This window comes from Homo sapiens, chromosome 3, assembly GCF_000001405.40.
Source record: "Homo sapiens chromosome 3, GRCh38.p14 Primary Assembly".
NCBI classification, from domain to species: Eukaryota; Metazoa; Chordata; class Mammalia; order Primates; family Hominidae; genus Homo; species Homo sapiens.
Window position 1 is genome coordinate 52712434 of NC_000003.12, and position 21831 is coordinate 52734264.

General features: G+C 44.9%; 1 protein-coding gene and 1 pseudogene across 8 annotated transcripts in view, besides 2 other annotated features; one reads left to right on the forward strand and one right to left on the reverse strand.

The window, feature by feature from the left end:
• The window catches only part of NEK4 (NIMA related kinase 4), a 62497-nt gene that overhangs the window by 3990 nt on the left and 36676 nt on the right, over positions 1-21831 (reverse strand). For 2 of the 8 annotated variants that reach the window (XM_017007086.2, XM_017007085.2), the window contains one exon: positions 18600-20413. The exons of 4 other annotated variants lie outside the window; for them this stretch is intronic. In XM_017007086.2, coding sequence (XP_016862575.1) covers positions 20234-20413 — 180 coding nt within the window. In that variant the 3' untranslated portion in view covers positions 18600-20233. Of the gene's footprint in view, positions 1-17172; positions 18046-18599; positions 20414-21831 lie in introns of those variants that run through there. 2 more of the 8 variants (XM_047448772.1, XM_011534039.4) reach the window with 2 other exon arrangements.
• Positions 2918-3505: an enhancer, noted in NCBI's record as "H3K27ac-H3K4me1 hESC enhancer chr3:52749367-52749954 (GRCh37/hg19 assembly coordinates)". NCBI's record gives its function as "activates a minimal SCP1, AML or CMV promoter by ChIP-STARR-seq in naive H9 embryonic stem cells {active_cell/tissue: H9 hESC(naive)}" and the evidence as "EXISTENCE:reporter gene assay evidence [ECO:0000049][PMID:30033119]".
• Positions 19132-20331: an enhancer, noted in NCBI's record as "P300/CBP strongly-dependent group 1 enhancer chr3:52765581-52766780 (GRCh37/hg19 assembly coordinates)". NCBI's record gives its function as "activates an origin of replication core promoter dependent on BRD2, BRD4, P300/CBP, MED14 and CDK7 cofactors, with strong dependence on P300/CBP, by STARR-seq in HCT116 cells {active_cell/tissue: HCT116}" and the evidence as "EXISTENCE:reporter gene assay evidence [ECO:0000049][PMID:35650434]".
• LOC100301990 (zinc finger protein 610 pseudogene) lies at positions 19946-21644 on the forward strand (annotated as a pseudogene).

The window sequence follows — 21831 nt, forward strand, 5'->3', positions numbered from 1 at the left end:
GAAGCCCCAGTGGGTGTGTGTTACAGGGTGCTCTTTTAGTTTAGCCATCTGTAGGCAGCTTGTGTTAGCTCAATTAGACCCTTGCCCTATCTCAAGGACAGAGGGCTTTTGTATCCCAGGGTTCTTGCCTTGGTGTACCGGAAGAATCAGATCACACGTGGGCTTGGAGAATGAATGCAAGGTTTTATTGAGTGAAAGTAGCTCTCAGCAGATGCGGGAACCAGAAGGAAGATGGTTTTCCCCTGGAGTCTGGCTGCTCGGTGGACCGGGTTCTCCCCCAGCTACCCTGGCCAAACTCCACCTCGTTCTGCTGGTCGATGGCCTGCTGGCATGCTGGCATCTGTCAGTGTGCTTTTCCGCTGGCATGCTCCCCTCGATGTCCTCTCAATGTCCAGCTGCTTGTGTCTTCTTCTGCTAATGTGTTCCTCTCAACATCCAACCTCTTATCTGTGTTCCTGCGAGGGTCTCCGGGGTTTTTATAGGCACAGGATGGGGGAGTGGCAGGCCAGGGTGGTCTTGGGAAATGCAACATTTGGGCACGAACCAGCAGTGCCTGTTCTCGCCTAGGTCCATGGGCACAGATCTGAGGGTGGAGCCCTAGCCAGAGGCCACGCCCTCCCTTACCCAGTACTTCCCTGTCCCCCTTCCATATCATTAGCATACATAAAATTCAACCTGACCAGTAATAAAAAAAGTACTATGTGACATTCAATGTATGCTTGTGGAAAGAACTGTTCAAAATTAAAATAACACCTAGTATGTTAAACAGATACTGTGAACCTCCTGATACAATGCACTGAGGGCATATCACTTCTGTGGTATTCCTGCCAAAAATGTATAACCTAAATCTATTCATGAGAAAACACTGGAAAAATCCAAACCAAGGGACATTTAATAAAACACACAGCCTAGGCTGTCTCATCCTTATGAGCAGCCTGCCCTGAATCCTCTCTCTCTCAGGGTGTACTGCCTATTCTGCACTAACTTTCAAAACATTATTTTTCTTTTGCAATAAATTATTCTATGCTGCAAAAAATAAAATAAACATATGGCCCCTATTCCTCAAAAATGTCAAAGTCAGCCAGGCATAGTAGCTCACGCCTGTAATCCCAGCACTTTGGGAGGCCGAGGCAGGCGGATCACCTGAGGTCGGGAGTTCGAGACCAGCCTGACCAACATGGAGAAACCCTGTCTCTACTAAAAATACAAAATTAGCCGGGCATGGTGGCGCATGCCTGTAATCCCAGCTACTCAGGAGGCTGAGGCGGAAGAATCGCTTGAACCCGCGAGGCGGAGGTTGCGGTGAGCCAAGATTGCACCATTGCACTCTAGCCTGGGCAACAAGAGCAAAACTCCCTCTCAAAAAAAAAAAAAAAAAAAAAGTCAAAGTCAGGAAAAACAAAGTGAGGAAATGTTTCAAATTTAAAAAGACATAATTAAATATAAAATGTAATCCTGTTTGGTTCCACATCCAGCATGACACCATAAGGAGCTCTGTAAACCTCCCACCACCCTCAGTGGCCAGGTACCATGGCTCACATCTGTAATTCCAGCACTTTGCAAGGCCAAAGCGGGCTGATCCCTTGAGCTCAGGAGTTCAAGACCAGCTTAGGCAACATGGTGAAACTTTGTCTCTACAAAGACTACAAAAAATTAGCCAGGTGTGGTGGTGTGCACCTGTAGTCCTAGGTACTTGGGAGGCTGAGGTGGGAGAATGACTTGAGCTGGTGAGGCAGAGACTGCAGTGAGCCGTGATCATGCCACTGCACTCCAGCCCGGGCTACAGAGCAACTCAAAAAAACAAAGTCTCTGGAAACGGTGCTAAGAGAAAATGACATTCGAATTTTTAAATAAAAATTATAGGAGGCCATTGTTTTGGACTAAACTCCTGCACTACTGATGGCAGTCACGGGCCATCCGGAGCAGCCGCTACCATCGCGCTGGCAGCAGAAGGGAGGTGTGAGCGGTGATGGCAGGAGCAGCTGCAGAAGAGCAGTGGCACCACTGGAACCTGTGCCCCGCGCCCCTGAAGCAGCTGACCAGGCCACGCCCACCTTCGCATGGTCGGGACCCGCCCCCAGGCCCGGACCCTCCACCACTCCGGACACCTGCTTCAGCTGTGGGGAGGGCAAGGGGAGGAAGCAGACAGTCCCCAGAGCCCGCCCCTGGGAGCCCCGCCCAGAGCCCACTGCCCTGGAGGTTGCTAGGATGGGGCCAGGCTGTCACCTGCCGCTGGGGGAGCAGCGTGGTCGGGCGCAAAGGGGCAGGCAGAGAGGTGCCCCAAGGCAGAGCCAGGCCCGAGCGGCCCCAACTGCCCCCGCAGGCTCGGGGGTGTCTGTTCCCACTGCCTGGCCTCTCCCTATTACCCCCACCCCCAGCTCCAATCTCAGAGCGGGGTAAGCCCAGGCGCGGTCAAAGCCTGGCCAGGTGTGCGCATGTTTGGGGCAGCAATGACACACCAGCCCCCTGCCACTTTGTCCCCCTCCGGACTTTGGGCTCTAACAAGCGCAGGATGGGGAAAGTAAGCTGAGGGGGAGTGGAGGGCAGCTTGGCACTGGCCTGCACGTGTACCGTGGCATGAACAGCCTGGGCCCCGGGCAGGAGGCAGACAGGCTACTGGGCAGAAGGGGGCGGGTCCCCGGTGAGGCCCCACCTTCCGGCCAGGGAGGGAGCAAAGGCCGGGTACCAGGCTGCTAGTCCCATAGACCAGAGTGGGAACTTGTGGTGCCTTTTCTGGGCCTACCCATGGACAAATCAGCAGGTACTTCCTGCCGTTTAAGTCCCCTAAAAGCCCTGGGCTCAGCCAGAGCAGAACAGACAATGGGACGGCCAGCTGCAGAGAGGAGCTACCCTCTGCTGAGAGCTCAATACTCATCAAGATGAGCGGGGCTAAATACTCCACGAGACACCCTGTCTATGGAAAGGAGGTGCCCCCTGCGGATCTCCTCTGAGCTGTTCTCTCTCTTTTTCTGAGACGGAGCCTTGCTCTGTCACCCAGGCTGGAGTGCAGTGGCACGATCATGGCTCACTGCAACCTCTGCCTCCTGGGTTCAAGCGATTCTCTTGCCTCAGCCTGCCCAGTAGCTGGGATTACAGGCACATGCCATCAGGCCCAGCTAATTTTTTTTGGTATTTTTAGTAGAGACAGGGTTTCACCATGTTGGCCAGGCTGGTCTTGAACTCCTGACCTCATGATCCACCCACCTCGGCCTCCCAAAGTGCTGGGATTACAGGCGTGAGCTACCACGTCCAGCCTGAGCTGTTCTCTCAAAGAAACTCCTCTTCCTCTTGCTTACCCTGTATTTGTCCACATACCCCTTCCTGGTCACAGGACAAGAATTCGAGACCCATGAATGGTGAGGCTAAAAGAACTGTAAACAAACATGTTAGGAGCTGAAACATGCCCCTTTCTCACCACGTTGCATGTGAAGAGGAGAGAAGAGCTGTGGCCCTTCAAGGAGCCCAGACCTGGGAGCTCCCCAAGCCAGGGCTGTGACTTCCTCTTTGGGGCACTGTGGTTCCTGGCATCTCCAAGCTTCCCCAGTGTCCCCTGGTGCCAGCAGTGGAAGCTGCTTGAGGTGCACCTGGTCTGGCCATAGCTTCGCAGAGGACCAGTACCCATGCCGGCACCTGGAGCTGCCCGCCCCGCTGCAGCAACTAGCGTGTCTGACTGCACAGTGGCTGGACCCCATGCTCACTCCCACACCCCTCGCCGCTCCATGCCTGACTCTCCCTTGGCAGGCATGGGATACAGGTTGGTAATATAGTGCAATGCCAGGCCATGGACAGAACAAGCCCAGTGGGCCCAAGTAAAACTCAGGCAAAGGCGCCATCAGCCACAGACGTTTCTGGCTGGAAAAGTGACACCCCAAAGATCTCATAACACCAGGCCCAACTGTCCAGACTAAAAATTATAAAGGAGTCACTCATGCTCACCAAACCGAAATTGAGCTGTCAAGAAATCGAGAGAATGAATTTCCCAAAGAGGCCAGTTTCAACTGACGTCGTATGAAGCTCTCTCTGTTTTAATCTTTCATCTGAAGTAACCTGATGTTAACCAATCAGCTTATTTTTCCATTATTCTATCTCCCTGTCCCCACCCTAAAATGACCAATCCACTTTTTTTCTGGAGCAACCCTATTAACTGAGACCAATCCACTTTTTGTTCTTTTTTTCTTCTTTATCCAACCCCTTTTCTGTCTATAAAGCCAATCTCCTCTGCTTCACTCATTAGAACACTTATTCTATTTTATAGAAGGAAGTGTTGCCCAATGCTAGAATCACAATAAACCCAATTGAGATCTTTAAACAAAATGTGTTATAATTTTGTCTTTTGACAGAAGAAACATTTATTTGAGAAAATCTAGACTTTGGTAAGAATGGTAAGAGTCAGTGGTATGCGAATCATGACCAACTGCCACCTTTCTCCATCCCGCCTAAGTGAGACAAAAATTCTACTCCAGGCCAGTGAAGGCAAGAACACAGGCCTTTGTTTCCCTGCAACTTCCAGTTCAACGGTTATCTTCTTGGGAGGGCAGGCCATTGGCAGATCTCATCCTGCTGCCTGTTGTTGAGGCTATATTTCAGGAGGGTGCAGGCAAGAAGTGGGAGCTCCCTTCTTCCACCTAGCCCAGGGTACTAGGATGTAGGTTCTACTTTGGGTACAGGACTGCTAAAAATTATGGGGCCCAGGCCAGGTGTGTTGGCTCACACCTGTAATCCCAGTACTTTGGGAGACCGAGGTGGGTGGATCACTTGAGGTCAGGAGTTTGAGACCCAGCCTGGCCAACATGGTGAAACCGCATCTCTACTAAAAATACAAAATTGGCTGGGTGTGGTGGTGAGTGCCTATAATCCCAGCTACTTGGGAGGCTGAGGTAGGAGAATCACTTGAATCCAGCAGGCAGAGGTTGCAGTGAGCTGAGATCGCACCTCTGCACTACAGCCTGGGTGACAAAGCAAGACTCCATCTCAAAAAAAAAAAAAAAAAATTATGGGGCCCCAAATCACCTCTTCCCCAGACCATAAAGTGAAGATTCCATGTTAGTGAAATGCCAAGAAGTATGCCAAGTATGCCAAGAAGATGAGAGGCTACTGCCCCATCTCCCTCCAAAACCGGGTGCTAAGTTTCTAAAGTGGGGGTATCACTCGGAAGAGTGCCATTGTCTCCACCCACAGCTCCATAGCCATGCTCACAAACTTTGCTTGGGAATAGAAACAGGCCATAAAACAGAGCACCAAATCTCTTCCTAAATGAACTGACTTCATTTGCAACAGAATATGGAGTTAAAGCCTCAGAGTGCTTTCAAAAAGAGTGGAAGTGTAACTGAGTACCTCCACTTTAATTAAATTATTATTATTATTATTATTCTTTGAGACAGAGTCTCTCTCTGTCATCCAGGCTGGAGTGCAGTGGCACAATCTCAGCTCACTGCAACCTCTGCCCCCTCCCTGGGTTCAAGCAATTCTCATGCCTCAGCCTCCCGAGTAGCTGGGATTACAGGCGTATGCCACCACACCAGGCTAATTTTTGTATTTTTAGTAGAGACGGGGTTTCATCATGTTGGCCAGGCTGGTCTCAAACTCTTGACCTCAAGTGATCTGCCCACCTCAGTCTCCCAAGGTTCTGGGATCACAGGCGTGAGCTACTGCACCTGGCCTCAATTATTTAATTATTTTTAAATTCTTTGTTTTCTCTCTCTTCTTTTCCTCCTTTTTCCCACTTCCTACTTAGCTCTTTAGAAATACAATTATAGGCTGGGCATGGTGGCTCATGCCTGTAATCCCAGCACTCTCTGGGAGGCCGAGGCAGGTTGATCACCTAAGGTCAGGAGTTTGAGACCAGCCTGGCCAACATGGTGAAACACTGTCTCTATTAAAAATACAAAAATTAGCCGGGCATGGTGGCAGACGCCAGTAATCCCAGCTACTCGGTAGGATGAGGCAGGAGAATCGCTTGAACCCGGGAGGTGGAGGTTGCAGTGAGCCGAGATCATGCCACTGCACTCCAGCCTGGGCGACAGAGTAAGACTCCGTCTCAAAAAAAAAAAAAAAAAAAAGAAATACAATTATAGCCTTTTACCTTCTCTTCATCAGACAATCCCTACAGGGATAGTTCAACTACGTGCTTAGAAGCTCCAGAGCAGAACTCTTACCCACTAGGAGGTTGTCTCGAGAGATAACAGTAGATTCACAACCCAATGCCTGCCCACAAAGAAACCAGCAGTCACCACCTTGATCACCTGGTAGATAAGCCACCAAGCTAGCACGCAGACCCCTACAACTGCTCGCTTCCCCGCAACCCGCCATGTCCCATTCATGTTAGGCCCTTTTTTTTGAGACGGAGTTCCGCTCTCGTTGCCCAGGCTGGAGTGCAATGGCACAATCTCGGCTCACCGACCGTGACTTCCGCCTCCTGGGCTCAAGTGATTCTCCTGCCTCAGCCTCCCAAGTAGCTGGGATAATAGGCATGCCCCACCACGCCTGGCTAATTTTGTATTTTTAGTAGACACAGGGTTTCTCCATGTTGGTCAAGCTGGTCTCGAACTCCCAACCTCAGGTGATCTGCCCGCCTTGGCTTCCCAAAGTGCTGGGCATACAGGGATGAGCCATCGCGCCTGGCCTACACCCCCTTTAAAAGTGCTTGCTTTCTGCTCCAAAGGAGGAGTACTCTTAAAGGCAGAAAGCCTCTACTTCCACTAAGCTAAGCTTTGGAATAAAAAGTCACTTTATACCAGACCTTGCTCTTGTTAATTGGACTCTGCAAGCAGCAAGCAACTGAACCTGTGTTTTAGATACAGCAGTAGAAAGGCAACTGGGAGGAGATAAGCCAATTCATTGGAGATGTAAACTAAACTATAGGGTGGGCTAGTTTGCAGAGACGATTACAAAGCTGGGAGGAGGCCTCTTGGGGTCAGAAAAAAATCTCAGATACTGACATTGGAGTACAAGACCAGCCTGACCAATATGGTGAAACCCCGTCTCTACTAAAAATACAAAATTAGCCAGGTATGGTGACACGCACCTGTAGTCCCAGTTACTCGGAAGGCTGAGGCAGGAGAATCGCTTGAACCTGGGAGGCGTAGGTTGTAGTGAGCGAAGATCACGCCACTGCACTCCAGCCTGGGTGACAGAGTGAGACTCTGTCTCAAAAAAAAAGAAAAAAAAAAAAAAAGATTTCAAAGTAGCCATTATAAATATGTTCAAAGAACAAAAAGGAAACCATAATTTAAAAAGTAAAGAAAGGTATAATGACAGTGTCATATCAAATAGAGAATATTAAGAAACAGAAAAAAATTATTAATTTAAAGACCCAAATGGAAATTCTAGAGCTAAAAAGTACAATAACTGAAAAGAAAAATTCACTAGAGGGGCTCAACAGCATACTTACACTGGCAGAACAATTAGCAAGCTTGGGGACAGACCAACAGAAATTATGCAATCCAAATAATGGAGAAAAAGCTAAAATGAAAAATGAACAGAGACTCAGAGAAATGAAGGGCACCATTAACTGCACCAAATATGTATAAAGAAAACACCAGAAGAGGAGAGACAGGAGCAGAAAAAAGTCCAGGCTTGGTGGCTCACACCTGTAATCCCAGCACTTTGGGAGGCCGAGGTGGGCGAATCACTTGAGGTCAGAAGTAAAAGACCTGCTTGGCCAACATGGTGAACCCCCGTCTCTACTAAAAATACAAAAATTAGCTGGGCGTGGTGGCATATGCCTGTAGTTCTGGGTACTTGGGAGGCTGAAGCAGATGAGTAGCTAGGACTACAGACAGCTAGGACTACAGACACACACCACCATGCCAAGAACCCAGGAGATGGAGGTTGTAGTGAGCTGAGATCGCACCACTGCACTCCAGCCTGGGTGACAGAGCAAGACTCTGTCTCAAAAAAAAGAAAGAAGCAGAAAAAAAAAATTTTAAGAAATAATGCCTGAATACTTTACAAATTTATTGAAAAACATTGATCTACATGTCCAAGAAGCTAAATGAACTTCCAAGTAGGATAAACTCAAAGAGATCCACAGACAGACACATTAAGGTTAAAGTGCTGAAAGTCAAAAACAGAGAAAACCTTGAAAGCAGCAAGATGAAAATAACTCATCAGAAGGCAACACCAATAACATTCACAGCTAACATCTCCTCATAAACAATGGAGGCTAGAAGGCAGAAGGATAACATTTGAAGTGCTCCAAAAAACTGTCAAACAAGAATTCCATATCTAGCAAATCTATCATTCAAAAATAAAAGTGAAATAAGGAAATTCCCAGATAAACAAAAGCAGAGAATGTGTGGCTAGCAGACCCACATTACAGGAAAACGAAGTGAAGTTCATCAAGCTAAAAGGATGAGACCCTACACAATAACTCAAAGCAATGTGAAAACACAAGAGTGCTGGTAAAGGTAATTATAAAACACAATACAAACACATTTTGCCTCTCCTTAACTAATCTGAAAAGCTACTGTATGAAACAATACTATAGAAGATGGCAGAGTAAGAAGCATCAGGAATTCATCTCCTCACTCAAGCAAAAATTGTATCTCTTCACTCAACCAGAAATTGTACTGACAGAATCTCTTTTACGTAACTATTTAAAAACTCTGGATTCTCTTGAAGGCTGGAAACATCTGGCGGAAGTCTTAGAAGCTAAATTGTGGTTCACTTCAGCCCCAAGCACTCTGCACCCAGTGGAGACAGTCATGCTGTTCCTGAAGCAGCTTGCATGCTGCTTGCAAGAACCAGGGTAGGCAATAAGAAACCAGTCCTCCAAGTATCAGGGATCTCTGTACTGATAGCTGATTGCTGCTTCTGATCACTGAAGTACAGATATAGAAGCAGGAAACCAATGTTGCAACCATCACTGACACTGTTGCAAACCTCCCTCCCTCTAGCTGAAGTGACTTCCTGGGGATTTAAAAGGCTGGTGCCTTTATTTCTCCCCACTTTATTTTTTTTCTTTTCCCCCTTTTGGGGGCCATACATTGAAGGAGCAGGATGTTCCAAAGCCACTGGGCACGGTGGCTTATGCCTAGAATCCCAGAACTTTGGGAGGCCAAGGCAGGAGAATTGCTTGAGCCCAGGAGTTCAAGACCCGCCTGGGCAACATAGGGAGACTCTGTCTCTACCAAAAAAAAAAATTTTTTTTAATTAGCTAAGTGTGGTGGGGCACGCCTATTGTCCAAGCTACTAAGGAGGCTGGGACAGGAGAATTGCTTAAGTCCAGGACGCAAAGGCTGCAGTGAGCTGTGATTACACCATTGTACTCCAGCCTGGGTGACAGAGCAAGACCCTGTCTCAAAAAAAAAAAAAAAAAGTAACCACATTTACAGGGGAATTTGGAAAGTTACCATGCATGTACATGCCCAGGGGAAAACACAGATTCAGACATGAGAAGGACCTTAAGTTTATACCTGTGACTAATCCCTGGTGATAGTGACAGGAGGTGGCCAAATACCTAGGCAGATGGGGCAGGTTCCCAGTGAAACCCCACCTTCAAGCCAAATCAGTCCGAAGGCTGAAAGACCAGACTGCTGGTCCTGGATGAAACCTGTGATCCAGAGTGGGAACTTCTGTTCCTCTTTGCTCGCCCTTTCCCAATTGATACTTTCTGAATAATGCCTTTTAACCAATCGAATGTTGCCTTTTCTAATACTACCTACAGCCTACCCCTCCCTTATTCTGAGCCCATAAAAAGCCCTGGACTCAGCCATATTAGGGGGACTTCCCCACCTTAAGGTAGGGGGACCACCCTCGCATCCCCTCTCTGCTGATAGCTGTTTCATCACTCAATAAAATTCTTCTCCACCCTCCTCACCCTTCAACATCCAGCGTATCCTTATTCTTCTTGGGCAAGGTCCGAGAGCTCAGAAACTGCTGAACGTGGGTACAAGCTATAACACAAGTGAGCTGGGGCACACCAGCATGGCTGAGCGAGGCCTGGGTGGGGCATGGCCAGCCAGAGGTCCCTGGCTTGCAAAGTGACTGAGAAGTAAATCCTACATCACTGGCATGGAGGACCCCTAAATTATCACATGATAAAAACTCAAATGTCCAGTTTGAAAACAAAAACAAAAAACCACAAGACATAAAAAATAAGTATGGACCATTCAAAGGAAAAAAACAAAAGAAATCAATAGAAATTGTCCCTAAGATCAGATGGCAGACTTATTAGAAAATGATGTGGCCGGGCACGGTGACTCACGCCTGTAATTACAGGACTCTGGGAGGCTGAGGCAGGCAGATTGCTTGAGGCCAGGAGTTTGAGAGTGGCCTGGGTAACATGGCGAAACCCCGTCTCTACAAAATGTACAAAAAAAATAGCTGGGTGTGGTGGCATGCTCCTACAGTCCTGGCAACCTGGGAGGCTGAGGTGGGAGGATGACCTGAGCCCAGGCTGCAGTGAGCCATGACTATTCCATTGCCCTCTAGCCTGAGCGACAGAGCGAGACTCTGTCTCAGAAAAAGAAAGTTATGTAATTATGTGGCCAGGCATGGTGGCTCACACCTGAAATCTAAGTACTTTGGGAAGTCAAGGCAGGAGGATTAGTTGAGACCAGGTGTTTGAGACCAGCCTGGGCAACATAATGAGACCCTGTCTCTACAAAAAAATTTTAAAATTAGCTAAGTATGGTGGCATGTGCCTGTAGTTCCAGCCACTTGAGAAGCTAAGGCGGGAGGATCACTTGTGCCCAGGAGTTTGAGGCTGCAGGGAGCTATCACTGCACCACTGCACTCCAGATAGAATGAGACCCTGTCTCAAAATAAAATAAAATGATGTATAAATAAAACAAATATCAGTAAAGAGAAAGACATAAAAAGAAAAAAAGAATTTTTTTTTTGAGATGGAGTCTTGCTCCATCACCCAGGCTGAAGGGCAGTAGAACCTGTGACCTCCATCTCCCGGGTTCAAGCGATTCTCGTGTCTCAGCCTCCTGAGTAGCTGGAATTACAGGTGCATGCCACCGTGCCTAATTGTTGTACTTTTAGTGTAGACGGGGTTTTACCATGTTGGTCAGGCTGGTCGAACTCCTGACCTTAAGTCATCTGCCTGGCTCAGCCTCCCAAAGTGCTGGGATTACAGGCATGAGCCACCATGCCCGGTCTGAAAAAAAGAAATTCTGAAGATGAAAAGTACAATAACTGCAATGAAAAAGCAGATCTGAGCAAGGACAAGAAAGAAATAGTGAACTTGAAGATAGGATAATTAAAAGTATCAAGTCTGAAGAACAGGAAGAAAAAAGACTACAGAAAGTGAACAGAGCTTAAAGGACCTATAGAACACCATCAAGCAGCCCAACGTAAGCAATGTGGGAGTCCCAGAGAAAGAGGAGAGAGAGGGGATCAGATAAATGATCTGAAGAAATAATAGCTGAAAAATTCACAAGTTTGATGAAAGACAAATATTTAAAAGACAAAATAAATATAAACATCCAAGAGGCTCAACAAACTCCAAGTAGGATGAACTCAAGAGTCTACACTGAAATACATTATAATCAAACTGTAAAAAGACACAGCCAGGCTTAGTGGCTCACACCTGCTATCCTAGCATTTTGGGAGGCCACGGCGGGTGGATCACTTGAGGTCAGGAGTTCAAGACCAACCTGGATGACATGGTGAAACCCTGTCTCTACTAAAAATACTAAAATTAGCCCCATGTGATGCCACATGCCTGTGATCCCAGCTACACAGGAGGCTGAGTCACAAAAATTGCTTGAACCCGGGAGACAGAGGTTGCAGTGAGCCAAGATGGCGCCACCGCACTCCACCCTGGGGACAGTGAGACTTTGTCTTAAAACACACACACACACACACACACACACACACAAAACTGTCAAAAGACAAAGACAAAGAGAGAATCCTGAAAACAGCATGAGAGAAGCAACTTATCACATACAAAGGATAAGATTACCAACGGGTTTTTTCATCAGGAACTGTGGAGGCCAGAAAGCAGTGGGCTAATATATTCAAAATGCTAAAAGAAAAAATACCAAGAATACTGTATCTGGCAAAAATGCCCTTCAAAAGTGAGGGAGAAATCAAGACATTTCCAGATAAATCTGATTAACACTAGATCTTCCCTATCAGAAATATTCAAGGGAATTCTGTGGGTTGAAATTATGACAATAAATAACTTGAAGCTTTATGAAGAAAGAAAAATCTCTAAAAACAGTCAGATTAATCAAATTAATAGGAACAGACAGGAGAATGGTGTTTACCAGAGGCGAAGGGTGGGGAGAATGGGCAGGTGTTGGTCAAAGGGTACAAGGTTCAGTTATACAGCAGGAGTTAAGTATTTTGAGATACATTGCACAACATGGTGACTACATTTAATAATAATGTATTACATATTTCAAAATTGCTAAGAGAATTTCAAATGTCCTCATCACAAGAAAATGATAAATACTTGAGGTGACAGATATGTTGATTAGCTTGATTTAATCAAAACACATTGTATACATATATCAGAACATCACATTGTACTCTATAAATATGTACAATTATGATTTGTTGATTAACAATAAAAAATATATTTGTAAAAGAAATACCTTTGGTAAAGATAAACAGATGGGCAACTATAAAAGCTAGTATTATTGTAACAATTATTTGTAATTTCTTTTTTTTGTTTTCTACAAGATTTAAGAGGCTAATACATTACAAAACAATTAGACTAAAAGCTAATATTACTGTAACTTTGGTTTGCAATTTCACGTTTTGTTTTCCATATAATTTAAGAGACTAATGCATTTTAAAAACCAATTTTTAGATCCTGTTTTTAAACATATAATGTACAGGCCGGGCGCTGCGGCTCACGCCTGTAATCCCAGCACTTTGGGAGGCTGAGGCGGGTGGATCACGAGGTCAGGAGATCGAGACCATCCTGGCTAACACGGTGAAACCCCGTCTCTACTAAAAATACAAAAAAAAAATTAGCCAGGCATGGTGGCGGGCACCTGTAGTCCCAGCTACTCGGGAGGCTGAGGCAGGAGAATGGAGTGAACCCGGGAGGCGGAGCTTGCAGTGAGCTGAGACTGTGCCACTGCACTCCAGCCTGGGCAACAGAGCAAGACTCTGTCTCAAAAAACAAAACAAAACAAAAAAAAAACATATAATGTACAAAGATATACTTTTGTGACATCAATAACTAGAAGGATTTGGGGCAGAGCTGTTAAAAGGGTAGAGTTTTTGTATGTTATTGAAGTTAAGCTGGCATAAATTCAAACTAGAGTATTATAATTTTAGGACATTAAATATAATCTCCATGGTAACCACAGAGAAAACAGTTACAGGACATGTTACATATTATGTTAAAATTTTTCACTACAAAAAAAATCAACTAAACACAAAAGAAGACAGTAATGCAGGAAATAAGCAATTAAAAAACTATAATGCATACAGAACATAAATTAGTAAAATAACATAAGTCCCTCCTTATCAATAATTACTTTAAATGTAAATGGATTAAACTCTCCAAAGATAGAAATTGGCAGAATGGATTTAAAAAAACCCAGAATCCACCTATATGCTATCTATAAGAGACTCTATATCTAAAGACACAAAAAAATTGCAATTAAAAATTTTGAAAAAAATATTCCACATAAATTGTAACCAAAGGAGATTAGGGATGGCCTTACAAATATCAGACAAAATGTCTTTAAATTAAAAAAAGGTTACAAGAGACAAAAAAGGAGACATATACAGCAAGAAGATTAGAACAATTATTAACATTTATGCACCTAAATGTACAAATGAGGATATTGATGGTTTGTTTTTAGGTGTAAAAAACAAACCATGACTAATAGTTGCAGACTTCAATACCCCACTCTCAATAATGGATAGAACAACCTGGCAGAAGATAATTAAGAAAATAGAGGACTTGGGGCTGGGCGCAGTGGCTCACGCCTATAATCCCAGCACTTTAGGAGGCTGAGGCAGGTGAATCACGAGCTCAGGAGATTGACACCATCCTGGCTAACACGGTGAAACCCTGTCTCTTCTAAAAATACAAAAAAATTAGCTGGGCATGGTGGCGGGCACCTGTAGTCCCAGCTACTCGGGAGGCTGAGGCAGGAGAATGCTGTGAATCCGGGAGGCAGAGCTTGCAGTGAGCTGAGATCACACCACTGCACTCCAGCCTGGGCAACAGAGCAAGACTCCGTCTCAAAAAAAAAAAAAAAAATTCAGGACTTGGCTGGGCACAGTGGCTCACACCTGTAATCCCAGAACTTTGGGAGGCTGAGGCGGGTGGATCACAAGGTCAGGAGTTCAAGACCTGCCTGGCCAAGATGGTGAAACCCCGTCTCTACTAAAAATACAAAAATTATCTGGGCGTGGTGGCAGGTGCCTGTAGTCCCAGCTACTCGAAGGCTGAGGCAGAGAACTGCTTGTACCTGGGAGGCGGAGGTTGCAGTGAGCTGAGATGGCGCCATTGCACTCCAGCCTGGGTGACAGAGCGAGACTCCGTCTCAAATAAATAAATAAGAGGACTTGAACAATGCAGTAAACCAACTAGATCTAACAGGCATCTAAAACTTTTTTTTTTTTTTTTTTTTCCTGAGACAGAGTTTCACTCTTGTTGCCCAGGCTAGAATGCAATGGCTCAATCTTAGCTCACCACAACCTCTGCCTCCCGGGTTCAAGCGATTCTCCTGCCTCAGCCTCTCTGGTAGCTGAGATTACAGATGTGTACCACCATGCCCAGCTAATTTTGTATTTTTAGTAGAGACAGAGTTTCACCATGTTGGTCAGGCTGGTCTCGAATTCCTGACCTTGGGTGATCCACCAGCCTCAGCCTCCCAAAATGCTGGGATTACAGGCGTGAGCCACTGCGCCTGACCTACATCTAAAATTCTTTACCTAACAACAGAATATGCATTCTTCTCAAGTGCACATGGGTCATTCTCCAGGACAGACCATACTATAGACCACAAATTGTCTCAATAGATTTTAAAGAAAAGATAGCACACAGAATATCTTCTCCAACCACAGTGGGATGAAGTTAGAAATCAGTAACAAGGAAAACTAAAATTCCCAAATTTGTGGGAACCAAATAACACTTTTTGTTTTTGAGATGGAGTCACCCAGGCTGGAGTGTGGTAGTGTGACCTCGGCTCACTCCGACCTCCACCTCCCAGGTTCAAGCAATTCCGCCTCAGCCTCTTGAGTAGCTGGGATCACAGGTGCCCAACACCACAACTGGCTAATTTTTGTATTTTTAGTAGAGACAGGGTTTCACAGGTTGGACGGGCTGGTGTGAACTCCTGACCTCAAGTGATCCACCCACTTCGGCCTCCCGAAGTGCTGGGATTACAGGCATAAGCCACTGTGCCCAGTCTAAATAACACACTCTTAAATCACCAATGGATCAAAGAAGAAATCAAAAGGAAAATTAGAAAATACTTAGAGACAAATGAAAATAAAAAACAATATACTGAAACTTTTGGAATTCAGCAAAAGCAGTGCTAAGGGGGGAATTTATAGCTGTAAACACTTACATTAAAAAAGAAAGATCTTGGGCTGGGCACAATGGCCAATGACTGTAATCTCAGCACTTTGGGAGACATAGATGAGAGGATTGCATGAGGTCAGGAGTTCCAGACCAGCCTGGGCAATATAGACAGACCTTGTTTCTACAAAAAATTTAAAAAATTAAGGTGCCAGGCATGGTAGCTCACACCTGTAACCCCAGTACTTTAGGAGGCTTACACAGGCGGATCACTTGAGCCCAAGGGTTCAAGACCAGCCTAGGGAACACAGTGAAAGCCCATCTCTACAAAAAGTACAAAAATAATTAGCTGCACGTGGTGCCCCACACCTGTAGTCCCAGCTATTCTAGAGGCTGAGGTGGGAGGATCACTTGAGCCTTAGAGGTAGAGGTTACAGAGAGCCAAAACTGCGCCACTGCACTGTTGCAGGAAGTCAGGGACTCTGAACAGAGGGACTGACTGGAGCCATGGCAGAGGAACATAAATTGTGAAGATTTCATGGACATTTATCAGTTCCCAAATAATACTTTTATAATTTCTTACCCCTGTTTTACTTTAATCTCTTAATCCTGTTATCTTCATAAGATGAGGATGTACGTCACCTCAGGACTACCATGATAATTGTGTTAACTGTACAAATTGATTGTAAAACATGTGTGTTTGAACAATATGAAGTCAGTGCACCTTGAAAAAGAACAGAATAACAGCGATTTTCAGGGAACAAGGGAAGACAACCATAAGGTCTGACTGCCTGAGGGGTCGGGCAAAATAGAGCCATATTTTTCTTCTTGCAGAGAGCCTATAAACAGACATGCAAGTAGGGAAGATATCACTAAATTCTTTTCCTAGCAAGGAATATTAATAATTAATACCCTGGGGAAGGAATGCATCCCTGGGGGGAGGTCTATAAACGGCTGCTCTGGGAGTGTCTGTCTTATGTGGTTGAGATAAGGACTGAAATATGCCCTGGTCTCCTGCAGTACCCTCAGGCTTGTTAGGGTGGGGAAAAAACTCCACCCTGGTAAATTTGTGGTCAGACCGGTTCTCTGCTCTCGAACTGTGATTTCTGTTGTTTAAGATGTTTATCAAGACAATATGTGCACAGCTGAACATAGACCCTTATCAGTAGTTCTGATTTTGCCTTTGTCCTGTTTCCTCAGAAGCATGTGATATTTGTTCTGCCTTTTGCCCTTTGAAGCATGTGATCTTTGTGACCTACTCCCTGCTTGTACACCCCCTCCCCTTTTGAAATCCTTAATAAAAACTTGCTGGTTTTAAGGCTCAGGTGGGCATCACGGTCCTACTGATATGTGATGTCACCCCCAGAGGCCCAGTACAAAAATTCCTCTCTTTGTACTCTTTCTCTTTATTTCTCAGCTGGCCGACATTTATGGAAAATAGAAAGAACCTACGTTGAAATATTGGGGGTGGGTTCCCCCAATACTGCACTCCAGCCTGGGGGATGGAGCGAAAGCCTGTTTCAAATATTTTAAATTAAAAAAAAAGGGCGGGCACGGTGGCTCACACCTGTAATCCTAGCACTTTGGAAGGCCAAGGTGGGTGGATCACCTGAGGTCAGGAGTTCAAGACCAGACTGGCCAACATGGTGAAACCCCATCTCTACTAAAATACAAAAATTAGCCAGGCATGATGGCAGTTGCCTGTAATCCCAGCTACTTGGGAGGCTGAGATGGGAGAATCGCTTGAACCCGGGAGACGGTGGTTGCAGTGAGCCGAGATCATGCCACTGCACTCTAGCCTGGGCGGCTGAGCAAGACTCTGTGTCTCAAAAAAAAAAAAAAGATTGCTTCACTTGACTAGCCAAAAAAAAAAAAAAGACTCAAATTACCAAAATAAGAAATTAAAATGGATACATTACTACCAGCTCTACAGAAATAAAAAGAATTGGGTGGGCATGGTGGCTCATGCCTGTAATCCCAACACTTTGGGAAGCCGAGGTAGGTGGATCACGAGGTCAGGAGATCAAGACCTCCTGGCCAACACGGTGAAACCCCATCTCTACTAAAAATGCAAAAATTAGCTGGGTGTGGTGGCGTGTGCCTGTAATCCCAGCTACTCGGGAGCCTGAGGCAGGAGAATCCCTTGAAACCGGGAGGCAGAGATTGCAGCAAGCTGAAATTGCGCCATGGCACTCTAGCTTGGTGACAGAGCGAGACTCTATCTCAAAAATAAATAAATAAAATAAAAAAGAATTGTAAGAGAACTATGAACAATTGTATGCCAACAAGTTGCATAAACCTAGATGAAATGGACACATTCCTAGAAACATAAAACCTACTGAGACTGAATCACAAAGAAATAGAAAATCTGAATAGACCCATAACTAGTGTAAGGAGAATGAATCAATCATCAACAAACTCCCAAAAAGGAAAGTTCCTAGACCTGATGGCTTTGCTGGTGATTCTACCACACTTTGGAGAGGAAATGATGCCAATCCTTCTCAAACTTTTCCAGAGAGTTGAGGAGGAAGGGGTAATTCCTGGTTCATTTTATGAGGCTGACGACAATGCCCTGGTGCTGGGGCCAGACAGGGACACTACAGGAAAAGAGAAATGCATATGAATATCCCTTATGAACATTCATTCGAAAATCTTTAACAAAATCCAGATGATTAAAGTATTTTTTCACCTCTGTTCATGAGAGATATTGATCTGATATTTTTTCACGTAGTGTCCTTGTTGAGTCTTGATGTCAGAGTTGTGCTGGTTTTGTGGATAAGGTGGGAAGTATCCCCTCTTAAAGTATTCTGGAAGACTTTATGCAGGATTGGTGTTCTTTCTTTCTTAGATGGTTGGAAGAATTCACCAGTAAAGCATCTGAGCATGGAGCTTTCTTTGTGGGCCAGTTTAACATTTTATGTCTCAGCTTTGTGCAAATGCTTAGGATAGTCAAACTCAGAGAGACAGAAAGTAGATGGGTGGTTGCCAGGGGCTGGTGGGGGCAGGAAATGGGGAACTATTGTTAAATGGGTGTAGAGTTTCAGTTTTGCAACATGAAAAAAGTTCTGATGATAGATGGTGGTGAATGTTGTACAACAATGTGAATGTACTTAATACCACTGAACTGTATGCTTTAAAATGGCTAAAATGGTATATTTTATCTCCATTTTATTACAATTTAAAAAAATGTATATATTGTTGAGCCTATAACATATAGAAATGTAATATATTTGCCAATAACAAAACAAAGGAGGTAAGTGGGAGCAAAGCTGTATTAGGCTACGGAAATGACTCCACATGGAAAGTTGAATCCAAAGGAACAAATAAAGAGATCCAGAAATGATAGAGTTACAACAACAAAATTTACAAACATACTTTTCTTTCTTCTCTCAATTTCTTTAAGACAGCTGGCTTCTTTGTGGAAATTGACAAACAAATTCTAAAATTCATATGTAATTGCAAGGGACCCAGAATAACCAAAACAATCTTGAGAAAGAATAATAGTGGAGGACTCATCCTTCCTGATTTCAAACCTTACTCCAAAGTAACAGTAAGCAAAGTGTGGTAGTGGCATAAGGATAGATATATAGATCAGCGGAATAGAAATGAGAGTCCAGAAATAAGCCCATGTGTCTCTAGTCAACTGATTTTTAACAAGGTGAGAAAATAGTCTTTGCAACACATGGTGACGGGACAACAGGAGAGCCACATACATAATGAAGTTGGAGCTTTACTTCATCATGCCATACGCAAGAATTAACTCAAAATGTGTCCAATGAGACCTGGAAGTGGATCACGTGGAGTGAAGGTCATGCCGCAGCACACACAGGAGTCTTGCCATGTTGCCCAGGCCCGTCTCAAACTTCTGAGTTCAGGCAATCTGCCCACCTCGTCCTCCGAAAGTATGGTTTAGCTGTGTCTCCACCCAAATCTCATCTTGAATTGTATCTCCCATAATCCCCACGTGTCGTGGGAGGGACCCGGCGGGAGGTAAGTGAATCATGGGGACGGGTTTTCCCATGCGGTTCTCATGATAGTGAGTAAGTCTCACGAGATCTGACGGTTTTATGAAGGGCAGTCCCCCTGCACACACTCTCTTGCCTGCTGCCACGTAAGACGTGTCTTGCTTCCCCTTCACCATCTGCTATGATTGTTAAGGCCTCCCCAGCCATATGGAACCATGAGTCAATTAATCCTCTTTTCTTTATAAACTACCCAATCTCAAGTATGTCTTTATTAGCAGTGTGAGAACAGACTAACACATGCTGGGATTACAGGCATGAGCCACCCAGCGCCCAGCCTCACAGATTGATTTCTTTTTTTTTCTTTTTGAGACACAGTCTCTCTCAGTTGCCCAGGCTGAGTGCAGTGGCGCGATCTTGGCTCACTGCAAGCTCCGCCTCCTGGGTTCATGCCATTCTCCTGCCTCAGCCTCCCAAGTAGTTGGGACTACAGATGCCCGCCACTGCGCCCGGCTAATTTTTTTGTATTTTTAGTAGAGACGGGGTTTCACCGTGTTAAGTCAGGATGGTCTCAATCTCCTGACCTCATGATCCGCCCATCTCGGCCTCCCAAGGTGTTGGGATTACAGGCGTGAGCCACCACACCCGGCCACAGATTGATTTCTTATGAGTCAGGCTGTGTGATGAAGAAGCCCAGAAGAGAAAGAAGCGGAAAGAAAAGGAATCAGGAAAGACTCTTACTCAGCGTCACTTGACATTCATGGATGTGGCTACAGAATTCTCTCAGGAGGAGTGGAAATAACTGGACCCTGCACAGAGGGCTTTATACAGGGAAGTGATGTAGGAGAACTACAGGAACCTGGTCTTTCTGGGAATCTGTCTTCCTGACCTGAGCATTATCTCCATGTTGGAGACAAAGCGAGAGCTCTGGACTCTGCAGGGTGAAGATAGCAAACAATCCAGATGGCAGGGAATGCATCAAAGGTGTGAACACAGGGAGAAGCTGTACATTGGGAAGTAATACAGAAAATGAGCCTATTAAAAATCAACTTGGATTAACCTTCAGTCACATCTGCCTGAATTGCAGCTATTTTAAGCTGGAAGGAAAATTTATGGAAGTAATCAAATTGAAAAGTTTACAAACCATAGTTCCTCAGTTCCACCACTTCAAAAAAATTCTTCTAGTGTTAAATAAATACAGAAATGATTTCATTGATTTCCCATCACTCCCACAAGACGACAAAGCACACATTAGAGGAAAAATCTTATGGACGTAGTTAAGATGGCAAAGTTTTTAGAGTGTCTGCAAGTCTTACTAATCATCAAGTAATCCATACTGCAGATAAACTTTACAAATGCAGTAATGTGGCAAGGTCTTTAGTTGCAATCCACACCTTGCAGATCACTGGAGAATTCATACTGGACAGAAGCCTTACAAACGTAGTGACTGTCACAAGGTGTTTAACAGCAATTCAAACCTTGCACAACATCAAAGAATTCATCCTGGAGAGAGGCCTCGCAAATGTAACGAATGTGGTAAAGCATTTAAAGAGTGTTCAGGACTTAGCGCCCATCTTGTAATCCATTCTGGAGAAAAACCTTACAAATGTAATGAGTGTACAAGAACTTCAGGCACAAATTTTCCCTCACTCAACAGAGAAGTCATACTGCAGAAAAACCTTACACACGTAATGAATGTGGCAAGGTCTTTGGTCAATTGCACGGCATCAAATAATTCATAGTACAGAGAAGCCTTACAAATGTAACAAACGTTGAAAGCATTTAGCAAGCATTCAGGACTTATGGCCCATCTTCTAATCCATACTGGAGAGAAACTTTACAAATATAGTGAATGCGGCAAGGTCTTCGGACACAAGTTATACCTAATCAACCATCAGATAATTCATACTGGAGAGAGACCTTACAAGTGTAATTCATGTGGCAAGGTGAATCAAAATTTACACCTTGCATGACATTGGAAGATTCATACTGAAGAGAATTCACTGCACACCTTACAGATGCAAAAATGTGGCAAAGTCTTCAGTCGTACTTCATAGCTAACACAACATTGGAAGACTCACATAGGTCACAAACGTTATAAATGTAATAAATGTGGCAAAGAATTCAGTTTGCATTCAAGCCTCAGTACTCATCTACTGATCCACACACGGAAAGGTAACCTTACAAATGTAAAGATAATATATATAAAAATAATATATAAAGAGAGAACAGTTGGCCAGGCATAGTGGTTCACACCTGTAATCCCAGCACTTGAGGAGGCCAAGGCATGTGGATCATAAGGTCAAGAGATCGAGACCACAGGCCAGGCGCGGTGGCTCATGCCTGTAATCCCAGCATTTTGGGAGGCCGAGGCGGGTGGATCACGAGGTCAGGAGTTCAAGACCAGCCTGGCCAAAATGG